Source organism: Homo sapiens, chromosome 2, assembly GCF_000001405.40.
Source record: "Homo sapiens chromosome 2, GRCh38.p14 Primary Assembly".
NCBI classification, from domain to species: Eukaryota; Metazoa; Chordata; class Mammalia; order Primates; family Hominidae; genus Homo; species Homo sapiens.
The window spans coordinates 179,855,560-179,874,287 of record NC_000002.12 but is presented as its reverse complement, the minus strand read 5'-3'; the positions used below and the strand labels follow the sequence as shown (position 1 = coordinate 179,874,287).

Here is an 18,728-nt window from a genome sequence, read left to right as displayed (position 1 = left end):
CACTCTGTCCATGATACTTTCTACCATTTCATTGTTCATTCGTGCCTCGAATATATTTAGTGGTTACTGTTTGCCAGAAATTGCTTTAGAAGCTGGGCATATATAGTCCATGCTCTCAAGTAATGTGGACTACAAGGCAAGTAATAGGTTTTTCTCAGAATTGCAGTTTATTCAAATGAATTGTCAATGTGTCTAATTTTGATTTGGCTGTTGCGGATTTCTTGTGTTTACTTTGTTTCCCTCAATATCATTATATAATCTAAAATATGACCTGGCTTTAAAAAAAATGCTTACCTTACCAAAGGTGCACTCAGTAAATCCCCTTTACTCCCCATCCACTGTAATCTTTGGACTTCAAGTATATAGAATTAATTATAGTCATGGGTTTATGAATACTATCATCATACGTCCATTCAAGACTCATCCATCTGTCTACCTAACTACCTATCGTATCCAAATTGATCTATAGATTTAATATTGTACCAAACATAACAACATACTATAAAGCTATTATAATTAAGGTGGTATTTAAAAGTGTCAATGGTCAGGGACACTACTTTATAAATTGACCAGTGGAACAGAACAGAGGACCTGAGGTAAATTTGTGTACCTTTTTCTTTATGTCAGAGGGGATATTGTAGATCACTGGGGAAAGGAGAGACCATTAAATAAGTTGAGCTAGGAAAAAATATGGATCATCAACATTGACTACAGATGGATTAAGAACTTAAATGTCGAAAGCTAAACTTAAAAATCTTTAGAAGAATACAGGAGAATATCTTTCTAAACTTAGGTACAGAAAATTTGTTTTGTTTTGTTTTTGAGATGGAGTCTTGCTCTGTCGCCCAGGCTGGAGTGCAGTGGCACAATCTTGACTCACTGCAACCTCTGCCAGGGTTCAAGCGATTCTCCTTCTTCAGCCTCCCGAGTAGCTGGGACTATAGGCGCGTGCCACCACGCCCGGCTAATTTTTGTATTTTTAGTAGAGATGGATTTTCACCATATTGGCCAGGCTGGTCTTGAACTCCTGACCTCATGATCTGCCTGAATCTCCTGACCTCCTCAACCTCCCAAAGTGCTGGGATTACAGGCGTGAGCCACCATGCCTGGCCAGATTTCTTAAACATGATACAAAAGTACTAATTTTGGGAAGATTAATAAATTTGACTACTCTAAAATTAAGAACTTGTGCTCATCAAGTCATGTTAAAGAAAAAAAAGACAGGCCAGATACTTGGGGAAAATGTTTGCAGCACACCTAAATGACAAGGATCAGAATTAAACCACATAAAGAATTGCCACAAATTAGAAATGATAAACAGCTGTCTTGTCTTCTATTCTCACCTACTTTCCCCTGCTCTTTTATTTTTGACTCTGATTCCCTTATCCAGCCAAAAACAAATTGGATATTGTCTGAACAAGTTGCTTACTTCTACATCTGTGCCATTTCCTTTAGCTAGACTACTTCTGCCACCACCAGCTGGACCACTGACATTCCATATACTTCTCTTATCATTCCCAAGAACCATCCTTCATGAATTCAACCCATCACTGCTATTCCCTCAGAGTTCATAGGGAATCAATTTAAATTTGGTTGCTATGTTCTCCTCTTCCTCTTCCTCCTCCTCCTCCTATCTCTCCTCCTCCTCCCCCTCCTCTCCCTCCTCCTCCCCCTCCTCCCCCTCCTCCTCCTCCTCCTTCTCCTCTTCCTCCTCCTCCTTCTCCTCCTCCTCCTTCTTGCTCTTCTATAGGCTGGCCTTGAACTCCTTGGCTCAAGCCATCCTCCTGCCTCAGCCTCCTGAGTAGCTGGGACTACAAGCATTCGCCACCATGCCTGGCTTTACATATTCTTTTGAACTGATTTTTTAGACATCCTGTCTACCCTGTTACATTTCAATTTTTCCTAAATATAAGAACTCTTGTGTTACATTCTGTTTTCATGGTCTTCCTTCTGCCTGGATTTTTTATCCCATAGCTTAGCACAGTGTTGTGCACGTGTTGGGTACCTAGCAAGTGAAAGTTTCTTTCATGGACTAACATTGCAAACATAAAGATTTTGCTGAGTTTAATCATAAACTCTTCAAAAGTAGAACAAAATGAAGGTGGATTTATCCAAGGAAGTATAAAGAAAGAAAAAGGCAGCAGTTCACACAAATAAATACCTAACAGAGATCTCAGACAAGTTATGTAGACATATGGAAGAAATTTAAAAATATCCATTTACAAAGAAATTGTGAAGTAGGAAGAAAGCTATGTAAATAAGCCAAATTAAGGAAAAATTACATATTAGGCTAGAGAAAGACAATAAGCAGCAAGTTTCAGAAAACATTTCAAATGGCAGTAAAATGTTCAAACAGGCTGGCAACAAATGAAAGTAAATGACTGGACTAATTAGGGTTATAAGCAAGAGATTGTTTGAAGATAAAAACCCAGATGTGTCTATGCCTCTTTAGAAAAAGCAGGTGGAGAGCTACCTTTTTAAGACAACAATTTTCCTGAAACAACAGGTGTAGGCAGTTTTTTTAAAAAAGTTACCTGCAAGTAAATTAGAGAAGGCAGCAATTTCAGATAACCTGAGTTCATGATTTTTATAAGAAAGGAAGAAGCATCACTGATACAGACACTTAGGTGATACGAGTCATAAGAGTTTCAAAAAGATTAGACTATAACATGATGGGAATTGATCCATCAATTAAAGGTTTTATACGTTGAGCAGTGAATTTAATCTGGGCATTTAAGGTTCTCCAATTTATTTGATTACCCAAAAATATTTGAATAAAGGTAATTATTTGTAAATTAGTACTTCACTGAAACATTACCCTCTTATAGTGAAATACAATAAAATGAGGTTTATCTGCTCTTCAGATAAAGCTTCTGAGTTACTCAGGCACCAAAAGATCCTAATTATAAAGCTGGTTTACATGTAAGGTATGTTTATGACAGGAATCCTAAAGATAGCATTTCAGCACAATGAGGTTCCATCAGTCTCACTCGGGTACCTAAGGTCTGCCATGTACTTTGCGTTGCAACTTCGACAGCAACATTTACTAGATACTAATTCCATATCTAGGGCTGCATGAAGTGCTGTCAGATGAGGTCAGAGAAAGAAAAATGTTTTCAAAGATTCTGCATTCTGTATGCAAGCATGATTGATATAGATGCATCCATTCATTCATTTAGTCAACCATGGAAGGCACCTGGGGTAGAGAGTAAGAAGTGTGGTGGCTTTGGAGTCTGAAAATATGGGAACAAGTCCAGTTTCTGTTATGCACTTGCTGGGTGACCTTGGGCAAACTGAGACTCTCTCTGAGCCTCATCTGATAAATAAAGATGGGGAATTAGGGTTGTGGTGGAATATCTCTTCTACAGGGTTATCGTGAGGATCAGTTTTGATCATATCTATGAAAACACTTTTTCAATCATTGGCAATCTCTAAAGGAAGAAAGGCCAAAGAGGATGAGAACTGAGAAGAAGTCTTGGATTTAAGAATCGATATATCCCTGATGGTGTTGGAAGTGGAAATTTGATTGAGGATGTGATGGGTCTGATTGACGAGACAGTGAGAAAGTGCAGACAGCAAGTGGAGGCAGTTTTTTTTTTCCCCAGGAAGTTTCTTGTTTCCAAAAATAGATTAAACTTTTAAATCACAGATTATGTCTTATATATTTTTATGACTAGCTCCACTCTAACTGTATAGAAGAGTATTATGTGCACACAGACTCTTAAAACATTGGTGAAATAAGTGCTGATGACAAAGGAAAGAACAAAGGAAGACAACAGCTTTAGGTAAAGAAAATTTAAGGAAGTTTTTGTTTTTAGACTTTTCTCATTTTAAAAACAGGACTCTGTTCAATATATTAATTGTAAGAGGTCAGAGTGAATAATGTAAGAAAGATGGAAGGTTTGCAGAGTTGCAGCCATTATCTCAAATGATGGAGCCAGGCAAGAGGAAGTGGGGTCAAGAATACTATGGAGGAAGGCTGTACTGAATGCAACAAGGGAAATTGGCGTTAAGACCACATAGACTAGGCCTTACCTTGGACAGAAAAAGAGAAATTCTGAGTCGTTTCTTGTCATGAGGAAGAAAGCTGATGATGCTCAAGTCAGATGGGTTCTACCTTCCAGGAATGCAAGAGTTAAGCTTTTCCTGCTGAATAGGAGGGTGGGTTGGGGTTTCTGATGTGTTTGAATTTCCATAAGAAGTTAATACGAGATAAGAAATGGATAGTTGAAAAGGACCTGGGGTAGGGATATCAGGATATCAGGAGTGATGAAAAGAGGAGACTGATTGTGAACTATAGGTTAAGAATAGCAGAGTGTGAGGGCTTAGTGGCTAGATAATTTAGTCATTTTTTAGTGCATGCAGGGCAAGAAAGGTATGCTGATGTTCCGCCAAATTTTTACCTCAGACAGCCTGACCTGATGGTATACTTTTTCTTCTTTCAATGGAAGGAGATAAGCAGGGAGCCTGGCTTGCAACTTGAAAATTGTTTACAAGAAATGAACTTTTGAAATAGAGGTGAGGAAAATCAATACGGCAAATTTGGAATTACTATGAAAAAGAAACATTCATAATTGAAATTGTCCAGAGGTGACACAGGTTGTCTTGAGAAACACAAGTTCCCAGCAATAGGGAAGGTCATCTAGGCCAGGTTATACAATAATTGGTTACAATTAAAACAAATGAAATTTAATTCCATTATTTTTTGGATAAGCTTAAGTGGCATTTTACCGCTAACCTAGCTAGGATATGCCTCTTTCTTCTGTGTACAAATGTGTTTTAATATTTGTTGGTTTTTCATTAAATAAAATTAATACATAGATAAGAAGAGATTAAATTTAGGTTTCAAAAACCCTAGGGTGTCAGCAGATATTTAAACTAGCTTGAGTGTCACAAGTCTGCTAAAGCTGATAGTGTATACTACTCATCTCTGCCAATGGCTTTTTGAAAAGCCCTTATTACTTTGATAACAAAAGTTTATCTGTGAATATATTCTACTTATAAAAAGTTTAGTTAATGCATAGTAGGATAATTTATTTTTATTATTTCTCTGTTTTTGGGCACTTAGTTTGCGTCCAAAGTTTCCTTATTCAAACTATGATATAATAAACCCCTTTGTACATACAGCTTTGCTTAGATCTGTTACTGTGACCCTAGAATAACGTGAGATTGCTGTGTTGAAGCACGTGCGCATCAATAAGGTAACTTCCCGAGAGGCTGTATCAATTTACAGTCCCATCAACAATGCATGAGAGAATCCTGGATTGTTTAATAGTCTCGTATAACGTATAACTACATCCTTAATATGATGAAGAAAATAAAATGTAAACTCCTGTCTTCCTAGATTTTTAAATCAGGAAAACTTAACATATGTGAAAGAAACATCGGATGGTATATGCCACAAAATACAATCGTGGAGATGTGTCCATGTATGTATTATGTGACTTATACAGTGTGGTTGAAATGTTGTCAATCAAAATGTTTATAAATCAATTTATATGGATGTGTTTCACATTTCTTTCAATCTTTCAGGCATTGATTTATTTTGCTTTGTTGTGATCATGCTATATTCCAGTTATCTTCTCCTTTTCTATTTTTTTTTTTTTTTTTTTTGAGACGGAGTCTTTTGCTCTGTTGCCCAGGCTGGAGTGCAGTGACGCGATCTCGGCTCGCTGCAACCTCTGCCTCCCAGGTTCACGCCATTCTCTCACCTCAGCCTCCTGAGTAGCTGGGACTACAGGTGCCCACCACCAGGCCCGGCTAATTTTTTCTATTTTTAGTAGAGATGGGGTTTCACCGTGTTAGCCAGGATGGTCTCGATCTCCTGACCTCGTGATCCGCCCGCCTCGGCCTCCCAAAGTGCTGGGATTACAGACGTGAGCCACCACACCTGGCCCTTCTCCTTTTCTTTACACATTATCATTAATAATTTTTCATGTTACTACAAATTTCTAACAAACATCATGTATGAGAATAGCTACATAACATTCCTATAATGAGATGTGTTTAACCATTCCCCTTAGATTGTCTTCAGATTTTCCTATTAATAAAGCTATGATGAATATTTTTGGTGGGCCACTTCCCCCGCATTTAACATTATTTCCATGACATATAGTTCTAGATTGAAATTGCCAACTGAGTCAACAGGAATAATCATTGTAAGAGTTTGATAAATATGGTACACTGCTCTTAGGAAAAGCAGTTGAGCCAATGAATATCAATTCTGCTAGAATTGTTATCTTAATAACTTTTTTAAAGTTTGCTAATTTGATGCTATCTCATGCTATTTTAAATCAATGTTTATTTTTAGCAGGCATGAACGTTATATATACCTTTCCTTTGTCTATAGAAAATAATCCTTTTAATTAATTTCTCAACCTTGGCTATTAATGGACATTTATTTGCTGTGGAAGGCTGTCCTATGTGTTCACATTTATTTGGCAGCATTCTGCCCTTTACAGCATCCCTGACTTGTAATAATCAAAAAATGTCTTCACATACATTGCCAATTATCCCATGGGGAACAAATCAGACCTTGTGAAGAAATTTGTTTAAGCAAATACGTTTTTAAAATGTAGTAAACTACCAATTTAGTTGATCTGTTTTGGAAGTTTAAATGTTTGTATCTAAAGTGAGAAAACTTCATTCATAAGTGTGAAAAAACCGCAAGTGAAGACAGTTCCAAATGTGAAGAGGCTCACAGAGGTCAGTTCAGAAAGTGTCATGATAGTGCCAAAGCTGAACGATAGGGAAACAGAGGCTCAGGAAATTTATTTCAAATGCCCAAGATCACTGTCCAAGAAGATGAAACTAGCATTTTTGTCCTCCGGGCTTCAGATTTTTTCATAACCCCACCCTATTGCTCATGCCACCCCTGCTCCCTGAATTATAATTCAGCTGGGTCCATCTCCTTTAAGAAACCTTTTTCAGAAAATCCACCTGAGCTACAATGATTTCTACCAGTCCCCTAGAATATGCCTATATTAGCATGGAGTTCTTCAGGTAATGTTTGATGTTTAAACGATTGTCACTTATACTCTAGCCTTGATCCTAATGGCTTGAAAACTCTTGAAAGGTGCTTGGATAAAGGGCTCTGTCCACAAAGGACTTCCATAAAATACCATCAATTAGCTCAGCTTCAATAACATTTTGTTTTTTTGTTGTTGTTGTTGCTAGGATTTTGATGGCTCCTTAAACTGGCCAAGTAGTGCCGGCCCCTTATAAAAAGAGGGAAATGAATTTTGGCCAGTAGCTGGAAACTGGAAAACGTGAGCAAAATCTATTTTCAAATTGAAAGGGTTATTAGTATATTATCTTTAATAAAAATGAGAGATGGGAAAAGGGATTGCCGAATTAGAAAATGAGGGAAGGAGCAGGGACCTGACAAGCAAAGTGAAAATGTAACATACTAAAGGGAACACAACAGGGAGATAAGTACTGGATAATAGGACAAGAAGCAACCATTGTTTGGTCTATAGTAAAACCATTATTATTTCTACAGCTTGTAAATTATAAACTCCATGTTGTTTACTATTGTATCCCTGGTGCTTAGTGGAAAGACTTGTATATTAAATACAGAATAATTATTGAAATGATTGAATGACTGCCTGGACCTGGCTTCTTGAAAGTGACTTCTTTTGTTGCAGCAGGAAATCAGATCCTGTCATTTACATGTGTGTGCATAAGACTGAAAAATTCCCAGCTGCATTTAAGCTTGCATTGAATATCTACAGCTGGTTTGGTAGTCCTAGGCACTGAAGGTAGTGCATGAATGCAAACAAAATATAAGAAATAGTTCCTAGCTTTAAGGGTCTGAAAACCTTATTGAAAAGATGAGATAGGAAATAGCTACTATCTTTAGGGAGTTGTTTAGGGAGGTCCAGCTGGTCATCCATAATCAAAAAATGTTGAGAGGTCAAAAGCTACAATGTATTCATAATTTATCAATAAATAGGGGTCTTTCTCCTCAGACTTCTCAACTTCTTTAAGGTAACCCTGCCTTAAGGAAACTAAGTTGAGAATGGCTTCAAAAGCTATGGTGACACTAGCTGTACACGTGAAGAAGAGAAAATGTAAAACCATGTACTATGCAAACGGATACTGAGCTGTTCTTTATAAGGCACTATGTATTAGGTATTATAAAAGACAAAAGAACCAATAGGATAGGATTTCTACTTTCAGCGGAACTTACAGTCTAATCAACACTTTTGATTAACCTCAAGAAGTAGCATACAAAGAACTTTTTACAGCTGAGATAAACTTGGGTTAGAATTGTGGCTCTGCCAATTTGTGATCTTGAGCATATCACAAACTTACTGATTCTCACTTTCCCCATTTGTAAAGTGGTATTAACAATTTCTCCTTCATAGGCTTCTCATAACAATAAAATGAGACAATGCACGTGTACAGTGTCTGGACACAGCATTCTTTGATAAGGGCTAAGTGTTGCCTATTTAGACATTAAAGCTTTTTGAAAGTTATTCAACACAGTAAGCTCAACATTAAATAAACATAGTTTATCTAAAATTATGATATTGGTTAAAATGGAAAACGATTTAAAAATACAATTTGAAATCAAAAGATACTAGTCATTGGGGAGCTTCCACAGTTACTAGGCAGTTATGAGTTACTTGCCCAAGGGAAGGAATTGAAAAACTGAGCCTAGAAAATAATGGAGCATTTTTGAAAGGAGTGTTACTATGTTCAGATTTATAAAAGGTGGAAGAAAAATCAAAATTGCAAATGCAGTTAAGAGAAGATTAATTATTTTATATTTATCTCAGAGCAAAGAGCCAAACTGGGGAATGTGTGTTAACCACAGTAATCACCTTGCAATCTAATCAGGAAAGGATTTGGGGTATTGTAAAATCAGTGTAGTCTTCATCTTGGGGCCCAAGGCAGTGCTGGATTAGGTTTCAAAGGGACAGATGCATAACAAGAAGCACTGTTATTACTGCAAAGCCATGGCTACAGTCTAGAAGGAATACTTTTACAATATTGATCACCTCTGGATATGAAAGATATTACTGCCCCAGAGAGGGGGCATGATGTCACAGCAAAGCACCAATTCCACTAGATCTCAAGAAAGCAAATTTATAGGAGGAAAGAGTGAAAACAAACAGCTCAGTCACACTTGAGAAAAATATTTAAATAATTAAATATCAAGATAATGAAATATCAAAATAAATCATAATGTGTTAAATGTAAAAAAGGAAGATGTATTAGTGAGCAAGGAATTTAAATACATGGCCTTTCTCTGCTAAGAGTATTCAAATAAAAAAGGAAGATGAAAGGGAACCCAATTTCCAGTTAAAAAATAATTATAGGCCAAGAGGACAATTCTTTTTCAAAGAATACTAAAGATTCACATAAAAAGAATTGCCCGACACAGAGAGAGACAAAAAGAATAGCACAGTTTCTCAAGTAGGCTTGAGATGTAAGGAGTTTTATATCCTTTCACCTTCCAAATACATATGCTACAGTTAGATTTTAAACAGATTTAAAAATGAGACAAATGTAAAACACAAATTGACAACTCAGGAACAACTTTCAGATTTACAGTTAAAATAAACTATACTTTTTCACACATTTTTAGAGATATAAGTCTAGGTCAAATTTGGAACTTCTACCTAAAATCATCTCATTAGCCTTAAAAATCTATCAATTCCATTATTTTTTTTCAAACATACAAGAAAATGATACTGAAAACTTACTGATCAATAAATCCCCATTTTTTTGTTACAATTCATTTTTATTTATTTTGAGTGGGCAGACCTCCTTAAGACAATTACTATAAGTGTCTTTGAAGAAATACTTTTTTTTTAACTGAGCCTGAGTTCGGACTGTTAAGAACAAATGTTATAAAACCTCTATCCCATTAATTTCTCACAACATGTGAACATTGAAATAAAATACAGAATTTTCTGACATTCACAAGATATTCAGGCACCCTTGTAAACAAATATAATTTAGTAGCCTATTAAGAAATGGGTTTTCTGCAGTCAAATGCTCCCCACTGAGCTATACCCCTCAACTTTGGGTTTTCTATTCCTAGGTAGTCCAGTTTTCTTCCATTGCAGGAGTGGTTTTCAAAATATGGCACCCTGCCTGGAGAACAGAGTCTCACTGATGGCTGCAAAGTGATCCAAAATGTCTGTAGGGCCTTGTTTTACAATATGACATCTTTAAAAAAAATTTCCGTAGGTTTTTGGGAGACAGGTGGTATTTGGTTTCATGAGTAAGTTCTTTAGTGGTGATTTGTGAGATTTTGGTGCACCCATCACCCGAGTAGTATACATCTTATGTATGAACTCATTTCCATTTCTCATATAGTAAAACTAAGGGAACTATGAAGTCTCCAAATTTGTTGATGTTCCTTGTTATCACCAAGTTCTTTATTCACTGGAAAGTGTAAATTTGTGAATGTAGTTAAAAGGAGTTCGTCTAGCTAAGGTCTTCAATATTTAGGAACTAATGCACTATACACTTCATAAACACAAAAGTAGAAAAAAAACCTTAAATTAATCCCTTTCTGTTATGTTCCTCCTTGATATTTGGGCTCTTTCCTTGATGAACTACCCTTCCAGTGTTGCTGCTATCCTGACCACTTTCCTAACGCCCCGAACCTAGGGCTATAGTTCTCTGAGTCGGTTTACTCCATTACTGCCAGGAGTGAGCCAGAATGTTTCCAGGAAAATGGTGCTTGGAGGCTTTGAGGACAGGAGAATCCCCTATGTCAGATAACACTGTAAAGGCATGTTCAATGACAAATTATACAATAGAAACACATTTGCATCAGAAAATCGAGACAGAAGCTGTTTTTTCTCTATATATTTAAATATTGTGTTTTTAAATTTAATGTTGTTTCCATATTGAAGTGCGTTTACAAAGGAGGCACTGCAATTGTTTTGTGCTTGGGGCTCCAGAGGCCTTAATCCTGCCTTGGCTAAGGACGTGAAGGGCAGGATTCTTAGTCAGTTATGTCACAGGTGAATAATTGGGAGTTGTCTGCATGTATTTTATGCTTCTTTCAGCTGTTAGGAAATGCAACCCTCAAATTATTCTCTGCCGTGAGTCTTAGCTATAGGTGATTAAAAATAGACAGGGAGGAGGGAAGGATATAGTTGCAGTTTGCAGGACATAAAAAATGCACATGCTGCTAAACTGTGCAAGCCACGGAGAACACTTCTCACAGGTGTTCCACTCTGCAGAGGTTACTCATTTGCCTCCAAGTGCAATCCAAGGTGTTGACTGGAGACTTTAAGGGGCCCTCACCCCTTTCTCTGCATCTTAGATTCCTGGAGATATCAATACTTACCTGAGCTCAGAGGCAACCTCGACAACCACGCTGTCCCAACTCTGAAGTGCATGGCACTGGAAGCTGGGTGTTTTTCTCATGGAAGGTTTTTGCCTCTGGAATTTCCTGCTTGTCCCAGTCTGCCAGAGCTCCATCTTACTGACCTTCAGGGACTTGTGAAAGACGTGTTTTCAACATAACCTTTATTGATGACAAGAGACCTTAAGATCATAATTTTGTGAAAGATAATTTAAGCAATTATCATAGCTCATGTTCTTTTGGGTTAAAATGATTGAATTTTGGTGCTGTCCTTCTGTAGCAACTTCAAATAAGGTACAGTTTTAAGAATAAGCACACCAATAAACGTTTGTTCTTAGTATTGAGACTGCCGACCTGGATGTGAAGATATTTGGATTCTAAAAATACAAAAACTGTAAGTCAGATTTATGCCCTTTCTCACGCTGGTACCTCAAATGTGCTGGTGCTTGCAATAACTCTACATTCCAAGGTGCTTAAAAACACAGCCTGCTCCCTTAGAAAGCTCTAGGATGGTGTGATTGTTTGTCACATCTGAAGCCCACCCTGGGAGAACAACATTGGCTTTGGCTGGACGTTAAGATATTTATTCTAGACGATTATGCCAAGACATTAACAGCTGCAGGATTATTTACGTAGTGTCAATCATCTGAGACAAGAACCAAAGAAAAATATTTTAAGATCATCTGGTTAAAAAAAAATCCCTGCTATATAACACAACTCTCTTGTCATTTATGACTATTGAACTTCTCCCCAAAGAAGTAATCTCAGAAAACTGCTCTTTTAAAATTATTTTCCCTTTCTTAAGTGTTCTAAGTGCTTTCCCTTTCAGAACCAAGCACCTTGGCCATGTTTGCACTAATTTTCAGAAGATGCCCTCTACATCAGGGTAACCGATGACAGGTTTTAGTTTTGAAAACTTAAACACGGAAAAGAAATCCGGCGAAAATGAGCCCCCCGCCCACAACCCTTTCAGATCTGCTGCGAGGCTGCGATGCCTTCTTGCGCTCCGGGCCTTCCCGGCTCCGCCAAATATGCCGAAGCTGCTAGCTGTGCTCTGCTAGCCCAGGGGTGGTCAAAGAGGAAAAACAAATAGTTGGTCTGACGATCTCCAAGAAGAGAGTTTCACTCTGGGTTGACTAATATTGGAAGCATCCGCCCCATCGCGGGGCTTGGCATCTAGGCTTTGGGACCTCTGCCATTGCCAAGGATCTCTTCGGGGACCCGAGCCCCCGGGCTGAGGACCGCGGGGGACCCCAGGTCGGGACGGAGCCTCCTCTGGCTCGCTGTGCGCGCACGCCTGGAAAGGCGGGATTTAAGGCAGCGATGCTGCGGGAGGCTCTGCAGTGTCAACGAGCCCCCGAACGGTTCCGCCTCATTCCCTCTCTGTGTGCCTCGCAAGTCTCTGCTTAGTAAACCGTCACAGCTTCGGCGCGCGAGAGTGGCGTTGGCACGTCCAAACCCCGGGGTCCTCGGCCAGGCCAGGGGGGCGGGCGTGCGGCGGGGCCGGGCCGGGCCGGGCGCGCCCAGCGGGCTCCGGGCACACGCCCCTCACCTGGGCGAGGCCCGGTGCGCAGGCGCTCAGCGCGGGGGCAGCGGCCGGGCGCTTAAGCCCGGCGCGGGCAAGAGTTGGACAGTTCAGGGGCCGCGCCGGGCCGAGCTGTCGCCCGCGCCACCTCCACCGCCGCCGCTGCTACCGCCACCGCCACCGCCTGGGCTGCAGCAGATCGCGGGAGAACGTCTGCGCGAAGCCCCGGTGCAGCCCTGGCGGGACCGCAGCAACCACCGGAGCGTGAGCAACAGCTTCCCGGCTGGAGGAGCCACTGCCCCACGCGCCCGCGGCCCGCGCGCCGAGGTAAGCTCTGGGCGCCCAGCCCAGACCGGCGCCCCCGGACTGGGCGCCCTCTGCTTGCCCGGCCCCCGCCCTCCTCCGCAGAGCGAGCCTGCACCTGGGCGCGCCGCCCGAGGGAATGGCCAGGAGCCCCCCTCCCGGTAGAGTTTGCACTTTGTCTCAAGGTCCCACTTGTAGAGGAGGGCGCCCAGGCGCCTGTGGCTTCCACGACCTAATCCTAACTCCTGCGAGTCCCTGGAGTTAGGATTAGGTCGTGGAAGCCACAGGAGCATACTCCTCTGTTCCCCAGGGTAGGCTCCAATTCCCAAGGACGGATGGAGAGGGGAAAGGACGAGGAGAGTGCCCCGCTATGTTTAGCCGCAGCGCCTCGTCACCTGGGCTGGAAGTTTGGGGTTTGTCTTTCTCTCAATGACCGGGAAATGGGTAGTTAGGGGACCGAGGTGTGTGAGGAGGGTAGCGGTCGAAGCTTGGGGTCGTGGGAGAGTTCTGCAGCAGAACCCAGATGAGATGGGGGCAGAGGAGCAGAGAGAAGGTCCCCGAAGTTTGCACTTGTTGGGAGCCCTGACGGGCGGCCTCGGCCACTAAGCGCTGGTGAAGGTGTCAGGGAAGGGTGGGAGGACACTGTGGGACTGCGGAAGGGACGAGGAGAAGGGGAGGGGGAGGACCATCTGTTTCGCCACTGTTATGTGCGGGGGCCTGTGGGGAGAAGGGAGAGCTGGCAGGACGATGCTTCCCTAGACTCTGGAGGACACACAGTTTTTATGGTGAACCTGGATAGGGAGTGCTGTTCTTCAGGGGAAATAAATTGCCAAGAAGTATCCCCCCTCTCCCCACGCCCATGAATACAAAATAACGCAGTTTTGGAATGCTCTCAAAAGTTCTTGGGTTGGGAAACGTCTTCTTTCATTTTCATACAGAGATGAGGTTTGCATTTCCTTTTGGTTTTGCTTTGCTGAGGAATATCACACCAAGGGGAATGCAAACTTTGTCAAGATGTAGTAGCAAAAGATGTTCCTATAGAAGGAACAAAACATTTCTGTTATAGGGCCTAGCCTAAAGCGTGGAAACTGGCAGCGTCCACACAATTCATGAAACGGTAGGAAATGCATTTATCTAATTAAAAAGAGGGCTTTTCATAAAGTCAATAAGCTACATCTTAGGTAAGTTAAAGGCTTTGGCTTGAAAGAACTCCCTTAAATGTTCCAAGGCCAAATTTCACTGGTTTTCAGAGTCCTTTAATCTTATTTTGATGCCATGTGTGCGTTGAGTATGTGCTGCCCCTTCCCTGTAACAGATAAATGCCTTTAGAATGCAAAATACAGCATTGCAAGTTCTGTTACTTGAGGTTTTTAAGATGAAAAAGATGCTTATTTGATCAAAGTGTTGGTTGTTTTTCAGATTCTATATTCCCATAAATTAAATATTTGTGGATTTATAATTTACACTCTTACCTATTTCCAAAAGTGATTTGAGGAAGCTTGGGATAAAAACCACAAATCAGATAGCTATTCTTGTAGATCTCCTTGACCTCTCTTGGATGCATTTGTAGTAAAATGCTTTGGGGAAGGTGAATTCTCCTAACAAAGGAAAAATTACTGTCCATGTTGGAATCATCTTGGTGATACAATGTTTTGCAGCATAGTTTCTTATGTGCTTTGTTTGCAGTATATTATTTTACATTACATAAGTAATGATCTCTTTATAGAAGTTTAATAACCACTAAGTATCATCTATATTGAAAAAAATGTTGATATTTTACAGCATTTTAACAATATACAGATTCACAGAGCAAAAAGAAAACAATGAATTTAATGTATTTTTCTTCAACTGAGGTACAAAGGAAACCAAACGGAGGTGTCTCCTCTATAGTCAAATCAGAGAGGGAATTGTCATTAGTACCTGTCACCCAAATATGGCCAATTAGTGAGACCTGTCAGCAGCTGGAAGATAACTTTAAAAAGTGTAACTATTAAATGAGGATCGATCAAAGCATATCAGGTGCTCTCAGCATTCTTTTTCTCAGGCAAGTGACCTGATTCAGAGAAAAAAAAATCTTTCAAAACAATTCTGAAAGGTGAAATGCCTGTACAGACTAATGCTATGTGGAGTTGGGCACCATGAAAAAGACAAGGATCTTAAGTCCCTGGACTGGCCACCCCGCCTCCCCTGCCCTTAGACTTTTTTTCCAAGCTGAATTTGAAGATATCATTGCTTGATTTTTCATAGCAACAATTTATATTTTAAAAATTGAGCAATTAGCTAACTTCTTACAGGAGTGAGTCTTTGTTCACATAAATAAAGGGCAAAATTTGCTCTGCTGTTCCCATAATATCCTATATGTCTTCAAAGATCTAAAGAACAGGGAGTGTGTGTCTGTCCCAGTTTCCCACCGCTTTTTATGTGTCTCTGGTTTTTATTATAACCCCTCCACGCCGTTTCATTATCTCTATTTTGCCACCACCCCAATTCCTGACTCTGTCCCCACTGTGTCTCAATATGGTCTTTTTACCTTTTCTTCTTCTTTCTTTCTTTTTTTAAAAAAATTTTTGGGGATTTCTCTTGATCTCTGTGGTTTTATAGATTATAGGTTATCTCCTTTTTGCTCTTTTGTATGTTACTTTTTATTCAGTTGTTTCTTTTTATTAGTGCTAGATTATTTCTTCCTGAAGTGACATCCTAGCTCTACTCTCCCTCCAAAATTTTATATTTACATTTTGAACCACCTAAGAGACAGCTTTATATTGCTCTTATGTGCCTCAACTCTACCAGGTTTAAGCTCTAATTAACATCTTTCTCCTAAGTGAACAAGGGTGACTTTGTGTCAATTTTAATATTTCTCCTAGTCACTGATGACCCTCCCAGTATCTTTGCTTTCCACATAAAATTCACAAAGTCCCACAGACTTCATCTCCATGATGCTTTATGATGCCTGCTTCTTCATCTTTCTATTCCCATGGTGGCTATTTTTTTCAGTCTTCTTATCTGTTTCTAGAGGCTGTCACAGTGGCTTCCTGACTCGTTTCCCATCTCCATTCTCTCCCAATTCATTTCACACTTGGTTGTGCAGAATAAGCTTCCCAAAAGAGAACCAAGCTTAATCACTGGCTAGTAAACTTTTCCTTAGTGTCCTACCAAGTGACATATAAACCCCTCCTCAAACAGTGAAGACCCTCTGCAGTCCAGCCTCAAAGTAGCTCTGCATTTTTTTTACTTTGATCTCGTTGGTTGGTTGATCCAGTCATTAATTTATTAATTTATTCAGTGAATATTTGAGTGCCTACTACATGACAAGCACGGCACTAGGTGATAATTTTAAAAGCACCATGTGTATTGGCTCCATGATACATTTCAAATATTATTTTTCAATGTTGGAATCTATTAAAATATAATCTTAAATGGTTGGAATGGGGTCCCAACAATCCCACTAGCTCCCCCTCCCTACCCTTAGTAGTCCTGAGGCATCGTCATAGAGTCCCAAGTCTCCTTGATACAATTTGAGACTTCTCTAGGCTGAAGGCAGTGTTTCCTTAACACAGCAGGTCTCTGAGCTCTGTGTCGTTGCTTATGTTGTTCCCTCTGCTAGGAAGGGCCCTCTCACTTCCCTACAATTATTTCCACTTGTCGAGAGAGTCAGTGCAATTGCACATGCTTCCTGATCTCCCTCTGCACTCCAGCTTTTGCTCCAGCAAACTCTGTTATATTTTGCTTGATCTCTTCCGTGTGGACTACGAGTCAGTGTCTTCCTGATATATATGTGCTTTGTGCATTCTCCCCTAAGGGCACTGCACCAACCTTGCCTAACATGGGACCTTCATTTCCTGAAATACCCAGCTCAGGGCCTGCCATATCATAGGACATCAACAAATAATTTAACTAGTTGGATTGAATTTTACCGAGTTCTGTAGTACCAATTTGTGTAATAACTGTCTTTTATTAACACCTCAACATGGTTTTTATAGTAGAACCAGTGCTTCTTAAACTTTAATGTGCATGTAAATCATTAAGAAAATCTTATTAAAATGCAGATTCTGGTTGAACAAGTTTAGGAATAAGCCCAGGATTATGCCTTTCTCACAAGCTCCCAGGTAATTTTGAAATAGGTGATCCTTGAACCACGCTTTGAGAAGCAAGGTGCAGTAGATGATGCTTAACAGACTTGGGATTTTCTAGCAGCCTCTGCCTCTCTGCCTGGAGATTTTCCTACAGTTTGTTTTTGCTTCAATATTATTTTCTATTTTGAAAGTACTGTGGGCTTGGATATGCTTTCTGAAGCTGAATGGAAGGTTTGTTTATTCCCTTGTATTTTTACCTCATTTTACTGATACATGATTGCAGTTGCTAGTTCTCCTTACTACATTTTTCTCTGGCCAGTTGCGTTGCTTTGTTAAATATTCCTTCTCATTTCCCTATTATTTGCAGATTGCGGATTGTGGCTGTTCTCCTTTCCCACTCTGCTTTGACTTTTTTTTTTTTTTTTTTGTCTCTGCTGTCTCTGTTTCTTAAAATTCTCTTCAGGTGCCTTGGCTGACTCTATGCCCCACCTGTTTTCCTACTGCTTCCAAAATTTTTTAGCAAAAGGAGCACTGAAATAGGGCGCAGGAGACTCAAGCTCTCCTTATTGCTAGGGTGAGATGTTGGGCACAGCTGTTTCTTTTCTGGGCTCCTGTATCACTTGTAGATGAAGGGCGTGGGTTACTTCCTGGGTCTACTTAAGCACTAAAATGCCATGTGGGATCTGCACGTGGGGCAGAAGGAGGAGCAGGTTGAGGGGAGGAAACAAAAATCTTCTGATGATCCCGGTGCTGATGTATGCCCCCGTCTGGTGTTCCTGTTTCAGGTTCCTGTTCTAGATAAACAACTTGAACTTTAGTTGTTATTCTAGCACTAATTGAAGAAATATTCTTATTTCTTAAGAAAATGAATATTCCCTGGTATCCTCTAATCCAGTTGTTCTCACTCCTGGATTCACACTGTAATCACTTCAGGAACTTTAGAAAAACAGTGATGCTCTTAGCCATTTCTAGGGGATGGTTTAATATGTCAGTATTTTAAAAATCTCCCCCTTTCCAGCCTGGATGGAGAACTATAGTACCTGGTCTGTAAAGGCAGTGTAGTGCGGTATTTAGGAATGCAGTGTTTTTCCAAGTCAAACCATGGCTTAGCCACTCACCACCAGATTTGAGAGCTTGGGGCAGGGGTTACTTAACTTCCTTGGCTTTCAATTTCTTCATCTGTGAAATGGGCTGACTTGGTTATAGGATAATGACCCTGGAGCCAGCAGTAGAGTACTGTGCACACTGTGGTTGTTCAAGAAATGGTAGTAGCTGTTTATCACCATAATCATACTATTAAAACTTACACTCACTGCATTGGTTAAGGGTCATCTTGCCTTAGCCAAGTGAACACTTTTCTTGCCCACCCTGGTCAGTTTCAAGATATTCAGCACCATGTAATCAGTCTGAAAAGAAATTTATGAGCATATTTTTTAGAAGTCAGTGAAAAAATACTGAAGAAAGTATATATACTGATACAAAACAATTGCCC

The 18,728-nt window shown here is 40.1% G+C and overlaps 1 protein-coding gene and 1 non-coding gene across 11 annotated transcripts in view; both read left to right on the top strand.

Annotated features, from left to right (window-relative positions):
• The first annotated feature begins 12,675 nt into the window (after nucleotides 1-12,675).
• Nucleotides 12,676-18,728, top strand: part of ZNF385B (zinc finger protein 385B) — a 419,631-nt gene continuing 413,578 nt past the window's right edge. For all 10 annotated transcript variants that reach the window (NR_148057.2, NR_148054.2, NR_148056.2 and 7 more), the window contains exon 1: nucleotides 12,676-13,187. The gene's annotated coding sequence lies outside the window, so the exon portion shown is untranslated. The remainder of the gene's footprint in view (nucleotides 13,188-18,728) is intronic.
• On the top strand, nucleotides 13,380-13,452 carry MIR1258 (microRNA 1258). Its single transcript, NR_031659.1, has one exon. It is a non-coding gene; the product is annotated as a microRNA 1258 (primary transcript).